Below are 13,394 nucleotides of genomic sequence, written 5' to 3'. Positions count from 1 at the left end.
GAGCATAGTAATAAGACTACCTTAAAGAATTGTCGTGAAGATTAAATAATGTAATGGGTTTAGAACAATAGCTGGCACATAAGGTGAAGTGTTCAGTGAAGGTAGGCTTTCATCCATACAAGTAGAAAAACGAAAGATGATTGCACAGAAGGAATAGCTTAGTAAGTACCTAGCAAAACCTTTAGGGACAGAATGCATATACACATGGCTTCTATTCCATGTCTATTCACAGGTTTATGTAATTTCTCCACCTCAACCTGAACACATTAAACTCTAAGAAATTTGTAGGCTGCACCTTGAACCCTTTTCTTTATTGATTGCGCCACTTAGGATCAGGCCTTTCACAGAGAAGAAAAGGCTTTCTGGGTCCTCTTTCATTTCTCTCAGTCTCTATTTGGATTGGGAGCAAGAATTCTGTTCCAAACTGCAAAACTGGGTGGGCACAAGTCGCAGAAATTTCCTGGGTCGGGTTGAAATTTATGGTTTGGTCACAAACCATTGAAAGATTCACAGAGCAAAGTGTAAGTTCAATCTTTCCAATGTTATAAAGATCAACGAAGAACAAAGTTTTAAATTTCAGAATATAAATAAAAGCAAATTTTAGAGTTGATTTCATTAAACTAAAAAGAAAACCCTTTATTGCTGGATTTTAATTTTCACTTCCATTCTCGGTTTTGAGGAAAAAAAGAGAAAAATGTCCCAATTTAATATAAGAAACTCTGCTTTGTACCTGTTGTTCTCCAATAAGTAAAAGGTAAACTTTGACCAGCTTCCGGCGTGACTCCAGTTATAAAAGGTAGGCTACAAGGTACTGTGGAAGTTCTTCTAAACTCAGGGGATCCACAGATGGGAGTTTTGGGGGCCAAGGGAACTTAATGATATCTAAAGAGACAGTGGAGTAAGCAGTATCAGAAGGCTGGGTTCTGTCTTCAGCCCCTAAACAGGCTGTTTTCGCTCCCTGGGTCTATTGCTTTCATCTGGAGGAAAAGGATTGTGTTATCTCAGTGGATCTTAATTTGAGATCTTTGGGTTCCTAAGTGGTCCCTGCATGGTTTTCAGTGGTGTGTTTATCCCAAAATCTTGGTGCATGTGTATATTTCCAGGGAGGAAGTCTATAGCTTTGCTTTTATCAGAGTTTCAAAGGATCCATGTGGCAGAAAAAGTTAAGAGTCCCTGAAGAAGGCTCTGAGCAACTTTTTGACTCTTAAAATCAACGATTTTATTGGGATTGTTTGGAAGCAGATTACAGTAAAGGCCTATGCTTAAAAGAGGCAAGACTGATCCAATGTCATTACTTGTAATTAATCCATTCTACTCGGGGAAAAATAAATATCTAAAATAAGTAGCCTGTTTAAAAAAATGTGTTATGAGAATCCAAAGATCAATTTTCTTGACCTATAAAAGCCCATAGCATATAGCAAAATTGGTTTTATTTATATTTTTATTGAGGTATAATTTACCTAAAGTACACAAATGTTAAGTATACAGTTCAATCATTTTTTTAGATTTGTTTGCTGTGAGAGCCTTGAGGTAGGGAACTGTGTGATTTCTCCTAGTGCACCTACAAAAAAGAGGAACTCAATAAATTTTTGTGAAATGTATGAATTCAGCTATTCTGGCATTCTTTTAGAAGTATGTATTATGGGTAATAAAGTTAACTTTGAAACTATTGAAAGAAAGATTTGTAGATTTCTTGCTTTTTGAATTTGGTAAGATGTGTGTTACAATAAGCAGTGGCTTAAAAAACAAAGCAATATTTAACATATATGGCATGGACCCTTGTGTTACAGGCTGATTTCCACCAGAATGAATGAGATTTGGTACAATAAACAACTTAAGTGGGAAAGCCAACAAACTCAATGAGACTGCAGCTTTGCACAGATGGAAAACACAAGACAAAAGAACAGACTATAAGGCAGTGAATGGGAGAACAACTTAGACTGAATGACCATGCAATTAGGGGGATTTTGTTGGCTGTTTAATCTTTTGTCAGTCTTTTGAGGGGAGAAGGAAATGTGAGAATTCCAGGGTTATGGTGGAGTCTTAGAAGGTGACAAGAACATGTGTAGGTGGGTGGGTGTATTATAATGCCTTAAAAATCTTTTCATTTCCAAGGAGTATCTGAATGTGTAAGTAGTCACAAAATCTTTTAACCTATTAGAAGTACTTTCAAGAAATTCAATGTAACTTTTTCACTGAATAAGATTTCCCTAAATTAAAGATGGATCTGTCCCAATGATCAAATGTAATGATAGCTCCATCCTCAAATAGAAGCCATCCTCCACTTCCGGCAATTCACATTTATGGCCCTTGGTCAGTTATACTGGTGCATCTCTTGCCCTAAAGGTAGCCCAAGTGGACAAATATTAGAGTGCCTTCCTGACTTTCTCCCTATTCACATAGGGTGATCATACATCCTGGTTGACCTGACATGATTATTAATCATGACTCTTTCACACTCAAAAGTATACCAGAATGGGGTGATAAATGATATGGTCACCTTACTTTTGGGCCTCACATTCAAACTGTCCAGCCCCCTCCCTGTACTCCTCCCCAAGCCCCAGGCTTTATTATGCCTCAGAACCTCTTCCCACACTCTTTTCCCCAGGTTTTCAACAATAGGACCTTGAGGTCTTAGTCAAACACATTAGCAATAAAAATAAAGAACACTAAGAAAGAGGGCATGAAAAGAGGAATAAGACTGTGACTTAAGCAAGTGTTTCTTCTGAATTATAATGAAATTTATTTTCTTTGGCGTTACTAAACCAGCTCTGAAGACAATTTCATGGAGGAAATTCAAAGCTGAAACAAGCAGAGTGACTTTGAAAGACAGCACTTCTTGAATTTATAAGTTCTCGAGTGTTTAAGAAAACTCAGGCGTGGCTTTATAGTCACACCATGCATTCAAGTCTTAGGTATTCACAGATCTCACTGAGGAAGAGAAAATGCAGTTGCTCTGATTGCAGCTCCATCACGAGGTGGTTGGTGTTCAGGGGACTGTGATTGATTTGGGCTTTGGTTTTTTGATTCGGGATGAAACTCAAGTCTATGGGATTTTGAGGTTAATTTCTGTTTAAAAAATAAAACTAAAAATTGGCCAGGCACAGTGGCTCATGCCTGTAATCCCAGCACTTTGGGAGGCTGAGGCAGGCAGATAGCTTGAGCCTAGGAGTTCAAGATCAGCCTTGGAAACATGGCAAAACCCCAGATCTATAAAAACAAAATACGGAAAAGCATATTAGTTGGGTGTAGTGGCATGTGCCTGTAGTCCTAGCTACTCAGGAGGCTGGGGTGGGAGGATGGCTTGAGCCTGGGAGGCAGAGGAGGCAGTGAGCCGAGATCGTGCCACTGCACTCCAGCCTGGGCGACAGTGTAGAAACAAAGGAGTTACACAAGTTATGCATGCTTACTTGTTTATTTTTGCTTACTTGTTTATTTTAGGAAAATCAGTGTATGCAAATAAGAAAAAAGAAAAAAAGATCTCAAATCCCATTCTCATAAATAACTGCTATTAACATTGGGGCATAACTTTCCAGAGGTTTTCTGTGCACAGTATATACACTTCTAAAGGCAGTATCCTAATCCATTTGTGCTTCTAGAACAAAATACCTGAGACAGGATAATTTATAAATCTGTATTTATAATTTATAAAGATTTATAAGTCTGTATTTATAAATTTATTTATAATTTATATTTTATAAATTTATTATATATTAATTATATATTATTTATCTTTAAATATTATATTTAAATTATTTAAATTATATATTTATTTAAATTAAATATTTAATATTAATATTTAAATTAAATATTTTATTTAAAGTATTAAATATTGTATATATTTATATATTATAAATATATTATAAATTTATAAATTTATAAATATTTATAATTTATAAAGATTTATAAATCTGTATTTATAATTTATAAAGAACAAAAATTTATTTCTCACTGCTCTGGAAGCTAGAAAGTCCAAAATCAAGGTGTGGGCAGGATTCGTGTCTGGCGAAGGCTGCTTTCTGCTTCCAAGATGGCACCTTGTTGCTGCACCCTCCGGAGGGGAAGAACACTATGTCCTCACGTGGCAGAAGGGATGGAAGGGCAAAAACGGCTAACTCTCTCTGTCAAGTTATTTTATAAGGGCATCTGATCCTTTTCATGAAGGTTCTGAATCAATCACTTCCTAAAGGCCACACCTCTTAATACTGTTACATTAGGAATTCTGTTTCAATGTGAATTTTGGAGGGGCCAAAAACATTCAAACCATAGCAGGCAGATACACCTTTTGCAAAAATAGGATACAAAGGAAGCTACTACTGTCATTGAAATAGCTCAGAAAAGCAGAGAAACAGTCCAGAATGACCTAAAAGGCCTGGGAATGCCTTAAAAATGCTCAGCAAATACGCACATTTCATCTCAGGAGTTTCTCTGTATCAATTAATTGTTGTCTGGTATGCTTTTCCTTATCTTTTACCTCTTTGGTGGAGTTTCTGTAGCTCTTACCACAAATACTTCTTCCCCTGGATCCATCTGAACTCTGGGAACGTGCAATCTATTTTGGAATTGCATATGGCAAGCTAGACCTTTGAGTCCCCTCCAAAATATAACTCCTGGTCTCTACTCTGAGTCTACCCGTTACACCCAAAGTGAGAGGTATCCCGCATCCTCCGGCTAAACAAACTCCCACCTGGCCCTCACTTAATAGTGGAATTAGAATGCAAATGTACAGGGGGCATGGAAACACGCATTTATTGTATCTGTTATTTATTCTACTAGAGAGGTCAGACCTCAGACTTCTGCTACCTGCGCCTTCTTTGAAAGAGTTCCCACCCATGTGCAATGGGGAAAAAAAGATCTATATTCTGAAGTTGTTGTTTATAGTTTTCTGTTTGTGTCAATTGGTAACATTTGTTAACTGTGCAGTATAGATCTTCACTGTACTGATATTTTGTCTGCTTGTCATTATCAGTTACTGAGAGATGTTTTATAATCTGCTCTGATTGTATATTTCTCTACTTCTTTAAGTTTTGTCAATTTTTGTCATGTATTTTGAGACTATGTTATTCAGGACTTACACATTTATGATTGTTTTATCTTCCTCATGGACTGCGGTTTAATCTTTACAAAGTGTTTTCTTATCTTTAGTAGAGTTTTTGTTGTAAACTCTACCTTGTTTGATGTTATTATTGCCTAGAAGATTTTATTATTATTATTTCATACAATTAAAACTTATTTAGAGTTTCCCACATATTTACCCTATTCTTTTCTTTTCTTTTTTTTTTTTTTTTTGAGGCAGAGTCTTGCTCTGTCACCCAGGCTGAAGTGCAGTGGTGCAATCTTGGCTGACTGCAACCTCCACTTCCTGGGCTCAAGCAATTCTCCTGCCTCGGCCTCCCAAATAGCTGGGATTACAGGTGCATGACACCACGCCTGGCTAATTTTTGTATTTTTAGTAGAGACAGGGTTTCACCATGTTGGCCAGGCTGGTCTCAAACTCCTGATCTCAGATGATCTGCCCGCCTCAGCCTCCCAAAGTCCTGGGATTATAGGCATGAGCCACGACACCTTGCCACTTTCTTAATCTGAGAAAAAATATCTACAAATCCATTTTCTCTAAAGGTAAAATATTGAATGCTTCCCCACTAGAACAAGTATAGAGACTAAGATGCTCACTATTTCCTCTTCTAGTCAATATTGTACTAAAGATACAATTCTTGCTAGTGCAAGAAGATAATAAAGGGAAATAAAAGGTATAAATATTGGAAAGGAAAAAATAAAACTGGTAGTATCTGCAAATGACATTGTTTTGTATGCCAGAAAATGCAAAGGAATCTATAAATAATCTATCATAATTAAATAAGTTTGCCAGTATTACTAGATATAAGGTCAATCAATTTAATTTATATATTCCAGCAATCTAAGTTAGAAAGTAAAAGTTTAAAACAATGCTCTTCATAGTAGTCTTTAAAAAATCAAATATTTTCCATTAAGTATAATGAAAGTTGTACAAGTTATGTACATAGAAAGTTTTAAATGATTTTAAGAGTTGATGTTTTATATTAAGGCATTTTGCCTGACAGGCTGTGAAGATATTCTCCTAAGTTATCTTTTGAAAGAGAAATGAAAGAAGACATTTTAAACCCCAAAGCATATACTATGTTCAAGGATTAGAAGATTCAATGTTGTGAAGATGTGAATTCTCCCCAAATTGATGTATATATTAAACGTAATCCCTTTCAAATTTCCAGCAGTTTTGTTTTGTGGAATTGATGACTGATTCTAAAATGCTTCTGGAAATGAAAAGGACCAAAAATAGCCAGCTCAATCTTGAAGAAGAAAAAGAATGTGGGAGGATTTATGCAACTGTATATTAGACTCATTACACAGTTAGAGTAATTAAAACAGTGTGGGATCAGCACCGAATAGTGTCAAGAAACAAACCCACACATATAGGCCCACTTGATTTATGACAAAGTCAGAACTCCAGAAGAGTGTGCTAAAGACAGTATTTCCAGTAAGTGTTACTGGGTCAACTAGATGACCATATGGGAAAAACTAAAACAAAGACAAAACTTTGATCCCTACTTTACACACACAAGTTCCAGGTGATTTGTAGATCTAAATGTTGTCATTAGAATAATAAAACTTCTAGAAGTCAACATAGAAAAATATCTGGCCAGGCGCGGTGGCTCATGCCTGTAATCCCAACACTTTGGGAGGCTGAGGCGGGCAGATTATGAGGTCAGGAGATCGAGACCATCCTAGCTAACACGGTGAAACTCCATCTCTACTAAAAATACAAAAAATTAGCCGGGCGTGGTGGCACGAGCCTGTAGTTCCAGCTACTCGGGAGGGTGAGGCAGGAGAATCACTTGAACCCGGGAGGGGAGGCGGAGGTTGCAGTGAGCAGAGATTGTACCACTGCACTCTAGCCTGGCGCCACTGCACTCAAGCCTGGCACAACTGAACTCCAGCCTGACTCCGTCTCAAAAAGAAAAAAGAAAAAAAAAAGAAAAATATCTTTATGGCTTTGGGGTAGGCAAGGATTTTTTGTTGTTGTTGTTATTTTTGATTCTGTTTTTTCAGAAATGGAGTTTCGGTCTTGTTGCCCAAGCTGAAGTGCAATGGCGTGATCTCGGCTCACTGCGACCCCCGCCTCCCGGGTTCAAGTGATTCTCCTGCCTCAGCCTCCCGAGTAGCTGGGATTACAGGTGTGCACCACCACTCTCAGCTAATTTTTTGTATTTTTAGTAGAAACGAGGTTTCACCATGTTAGCCAGGCTGGTCTCGAACTCCTAACCTCAGGTGATCTGCCCGCCTTGGCCTCCCAAAGTGCTGGGATTACAGGTGTGAGCCACCGCGCCTAGCCTATATACACTCTTAATTTACTATTCTAGCTTTTACTAAAGTCTAGTGGATCGACAGTAGTCAGGACAATGTGGTACTGGCATAAGAACAGATTTATAAGTCAATAGACTAGAATTGAGAGTCTAGAAATAAATCCATATCTTTATGCTTAATTGATTTTTTGACAAAGTTGCCAAGACCACTTAATGGGGAAAAGATAGTATTTTCAGCAAATAATGCTGAGACAAGTAGATACCCACATGAATGAATCCACCCAAAAGAATGAATTTGGATCTCTAACTCACACCATACACAAAAATTAACTCAAAATGGATCAAAGACCTAAATGTAAGAGCTAAACTTTCAAAACTCTGAAAAAATAGGTGAAATTGTTGTGACCTTGGATTAGGCAACAGTTTCTTAGATATAACACCAAAACACAGGCAATCAAAGGAAAAAAAGATAAATTTGATTTCATCAAAATTTAAAATTGTTGTAACTCAAAGAACACTGTCTAGAAATCAAAAAGACAACTCACAGAATAGGAGAAAATACTTGCAAATCATATATCTGATAAGGGATTAATATTCAGTATGTATAAAGAATTCCTACAACTCAACAACAAAGAAACCAAAATAACCCAATTCAAACATGAGCAAAGAATCCAAGTAGACATTTCTACAAAGAAGATATACTTCTTTAAAGAAGAAATGACCAAGAAGCACATGAAAAGATGATGCTCAATATCACTACTTATCATTAGGAAAATGCAAATCAAAACCACAATGAGATATCGTTTCACACTCAGTAGAATGGTTATTTTATATATATATATATATATATATATATATATATATATAATATATATAAATAATATAAATACAAAGTTATTATATATATATAAAGAATAAGTGTGGGTAAGGTTGTGGAGAAATTGGAACTCTTTTGCTTTGCTGGTGGGAATGGAAAATGGTACAACCACTATGGAAATAGTTTGACAGTTTCTTAAAAAGTTAAATGTAGAATTACCATATGATTCAGTGACTCTTCTTCTAAATATACACTCCAAAGAATTAAAAGCAGAGATCTAAACAGATACTTGTACACAAATATTTACAGCAGTATTATTCATAATAGCCAAAAGGTGGAAACAACCCAAATGTCCATCAACAGATGAATAGATAAACAAAATGTGGTATATATATATATACAATGGAATATTATTCAGCCTTAAAAACAAGTAATATTCTGATACATGCCACACCATGGATGAGCCTTGAGGATATTATACTAAGTGAAATAAGCCAGACACAAATAGACAAACATTGTATGGTTCTACTTATATGAAGTACCTAGAATATTCAAATTCATAAAGACAGAAAGCAGAATAGAAGTAGGCTAGGGCTGGGAGAGGGATGATGGGTAGTTATTGTTTAATGGGGACAGAGTTTCTGTTTGGATGATGAAAAGTTTTGGAAATGGATAGCGGTAATGTGACACAACAGTGGGAATGTGCTTAATGCCACCGAATTGTTCACTTAAAAATGGCTAAAATAGTAAAAGTTATGTTACATATATTTTTCCAATATAAGAAAAATAAACTTAAACATTTTTTTAAATTTAAAAATGGTGACTTTTATGGTATATGAGCTACATCTCACACAAAAAATTTTTAACTCAGTGGATCATGGTGGAGGACAGTAGACCACTGCAAACTTAATCAAGTAGTAGTCCCAATTGCAGATGGTGTGCTAGATGTGCTATCTTTACTAGAATAAATTAATATGGTTGCTGGTGTATGATATAAAGCTATTGATTTGGTGAATGCATTATTTTAACTACCCATTAGGAATTGGGACCAGAAGCAGTTCTTTCATATGGAATGGAGGACAGTATACAATATACACTCACAGTGTTGCTCTAATCTAAAGGGACCCAAATCATATGGACATACCATGGAACATCACATTGGACCACTATACTGGTGCTATCATGTTAATCATACTGGACAGATAATAAATGGTGTCTACTTTGGATACCTTGGTAGGACAATCCAGTCTAGAGTGTGGAAGATAAATCTACAAAAATATAAGAGCCTGACACATCTATAAAGTTTTTAGGATTCCAGTGGCCTGAGGCAATCTATCCAAGATAAAAGACAAGTTTTTGTATCTTGCACCATCTACCACTAGGAAAGAAACACCCACTAAGAAAAAATAAACATAATACTTAGAAGGCCTTTTCAGGTTTTGGAGGCAGCATATTCCACACTTGGGAATGCTGCTCTAACACATTTATCAGGAGATACAGAAAGTTGCTAGCTTTGATTGGGGTCTAGAATCAGAGTTCTATAGCAGATCCACCTGTAGTACAAGCAGTCCTGCCATTAGGACCATATAACCCGGAAGATCCTACTATATTAGAGTTTCTGTGATGGAAAAAAGACGCCACCTGGAATACCTGGCAAGTCCCATAGGAGAGTCATAGCATGGACCATTTGGGTTCTAGAGCAAGGCCACGACATCTGTAGCAGAGAACTCTATACCATTTAAAAAGTATCTCCTGGCTTGCTATTTTGCCCTGGTAAAGAATGAACATCTAGCTATAATGACATGTTGTGAGGATAGGTCACTATCCTTCTTTATCCTTAAACCAACAGTCAGTGTATGGTGCTGCCTTTCCAGTCAATGCAACACATGGGTCTGAGAATCAAAGAGTGGAGTGGGGAGTGGCCCCACTCCTCATCACTGTTGGAGACCCAGAATTTGTTCTGCCTGTCCTCACAGTTTTAAATCTTGCAGTTGTGGAGATTCTGATTTCTGGAAAGGATATACTTCTACCAGTCAACAGAGGATCCCACTAAACTTAATACTACAACTGCTTCCTTGACACTTTGGGTTCCTTGTGCTAGTGGAAAGGAGTTACCATCTGCAGAGAAATTGACTCTGGTTATCAGGAGGAGGTAGGGCTGCTGCTGTGTAAGGGGTGCAGGCAGAAGAAATGCATTTGGCATTTGGATAATCCGCCATCTTGGTACTCCCATGCTTAGTTTTAACTGTACATGGAAAAATTCAGCAACCAGAGCCTGATAGTGGCATGGTAATCAGGAGCTCAGGCTCCTCAGAGATAAGAGTCTGAGGCAACCCACCCAACAAACCATGCGGATGGGCAGAAGTACTACCTGAGGATGTGGTGGAGAGAAGGGATAAATATCAGTGATGGCCTTGGGTCCAACTGCAGCAGTGGGGTTTGTAGTTTGTCTCACCAACTTTCCTGTCTTAAGTGTTCCAGAAATTATAACCAACCAGAATCCCAGAGAAGCTGTAACAGGGTGGAGTATACCTAACGTGAAAAGCAAATGGACCTGAATGGTGCAAGAGGTGGACCTTTGTGGACATTGTTGATGCCTTGCCCAGATCTCCTGAATCCTCTTCCTCAGTCTGGTTCTTGTTTTTAATGCCCACCTGCCACAGATACCTTGGGTAACGGGTCATCTCCACAACTTTCTCTAGATGATTTTCCATGTATGTCTGAAGTCTCTGTGGCTAGAGATTCCTGGGAGTAATGCTAACCTCTCATTTCATGGACCATGACCAACAACTGTCTGGGGCAGGAATACAAAAATTCCACTCCTTTGTCCGATGCAAGATGGGCTCTGCCATTCACTTTATACTCCAGAGCTTCCTGTAAGATGTGGCTGAAGCTAGATTTCACCTGGAACCTCATTCTTGCATACGTTGTTTCCTTTCCTGCTTCACTCTTTCTTACCTGTCTCTCCCGATTTATCTCCTTGATAAATCACAAGCACACAAATCCCCATCTCGTGCTGTTTCTGAAACCTACTTAAGACACCTCCCAAATAAACTACTCATACCCAAGGCCTTCTCCAAAGCAAGAAAGAAGTTATTCATCCAATGGATTTTTAATAGGTGAGAGACCACAAGACCCTAAGTTATTGTATGAAACAATTCCTGGACTTCAACTTTTATAAAAATCATGAACATCAGACCACAGCTTATCTTGGTATACATAACTATAATTATAATTTTAAGGCATTTTAATAGACTGTGAGTCACTTTCTATATAGAAGATTGTGTCTGTAGGAACTTCATTAACAACGAAATATAAAAGACTTCAAGATTTGAAATTAGTTTCAAGAGTTAAGTTACAGTGATAAAAAATTCCATTGAACACAAAGAACTTTTAGCCATTAGAGTGGCCTTAGGTTAGGTTGAATTTCCTGTCATCTTAGATTTCTGAACACAAGCTGAATGACTATTTGGTGAAGACTAAACAGAGGGCTCTTCAGGCATCAGGAGGATTGGACTGGTAGCTAGAAACTTAAGTACGGGGCTGGGCACAGTGGCTCCCACCTGTAATCCCAGCACTTTGGGAGGCTGAGGCATGCAGATCACTTGAGGTCAGGAGTTCCAGACCAGCCTGGTCAACATGGTGAAACCTTGTCTCTACCAAAAATACAAAGATTAACTGGGCATGGTGGCTCACGACTGTAATCCTAGCTACTCGGCAGGCTGAAGCGGGAGAATCCCTTGAACCCAGGAGATGGAGATTGCAGGGAAGCGAGATCGCACCACTGCACTCCAGCCAGGGTGACAAAGCGAGACTCCGTCTCAAACGAAAAAATAAAACAAAACAAAAAATGAAACTTAAATATGGTATTTTAAACACTTTTAGTTGGAGGAATTACCAAGAAATTATTTCCAGTAATTTACTTTATATGTGTATTTTTTTCTTTCTAGCACCCAGTACTAAACTAATCTTTTATTTTTCACACATTTTTCTTTAAGCAAACAACTGTTTCTCATTAACACAACCCATACACCAGCGTGTGGGATCCTTCAGTGAATTGTGTTGGGCAATGTCTCTTACTGATGGTATGAACTGAAAACCATCAACTTCCTACACCTGTAGGTGGCTAAAAACCCAATTTAAAATTTGATCATGTGGGTTGCTGAATGTAGGCATTTAATGAATTCACAGCCATTCTCTTATATGAAAATAAGGGCATTGGAATGTAGGATGCCTAGAATTAAAGTGGGATGTATTGGAGTGTTTGGATGGTTGCTGTCTGATGGCACCATTCAATATCCCTGCCCACCATGCCCCTGAGCATAACACCATCCATCGCCCTTAACCATCATGGTATTCCATGTAACATTGCTTCTAACAAAGAACACACACTTTATGGTGAAAGAATTAAGGCAATGAATGATGCTTATGGAATTGACTGGCCTTATCATTTACCCCATCACTCAGAAACAAGTGGCCATATAGAGAGGTAGGATGGTTTACTGAAGCCCGGGAATAATGTTGGCAGGGAGATTTTCCAAGGTTGGATGCCATTCTAAGATATGTTATATGCTCTAAGTCAGCAACAAATATGTGGTCTTTTTTTCATTGCAAAAATGTAGAATCCAAGATGGAAGTAGAATGTATGCTTTTTGCACATAGCGTAAACTGGCAAATTTTTTGTTTTCCATCCACACAACTCTTTAATGTGCTCATTTAGAGGTCTTAGTATGCACAGGAGGAATGCTTCTGCCAGGGGACACAACTATAGTCCCACCAAATTGGAAACTAAGAGTGCCACTTGGATAAAGTTCCTCAAGTCACCAGGAAAACATGCCGAAAATGGTACTTGCTGAGATGATTAATCCTCACTATCAAGAGGAGATAAGGGGCCAGGTGTGGTGGCTCATGCCTGTAATCCCAGCACTTTGGGAGGCCGAGGCTGGCAGATCACCTGAGGTCAGGAGTTGAAGACCAGCCTGGCCAACATGGCGAAACCCTGTCTCTACTAAAAATACAAAAATTAGCCAGGCGTGGTGGCATGCATGTGTAATCTCAGCTACTTGGGAGGCTGAGATAGGAGAATCACTTGAACCCAGGAGGAGGAGGTTGCAGTGAGCTGAGAGCACAACACTGCACTATGGTCTGGGTGACAGAACAAGACTCTGTCTCAAAAAAAAAAAAAGAAAAGAAAAAAGAGGAGATAAAGTTGCTGATAAATAGCAGAGGCTAAAAGG

This window comes from Homo sapiens, chromosome 15 (assembly GCF_000001405.40).
Source record: "Homo sapiens chromosome 15, GRCh38.p14 Primary Assembly".
Lineage (NCBI taxonomy): Eukaryota > Metazoa > Chordata > Mammalia > Primates > Hominidae > Homo > Homo sapiens.
Note: the sequence above shows the minus strand (reverse complement) of the source record.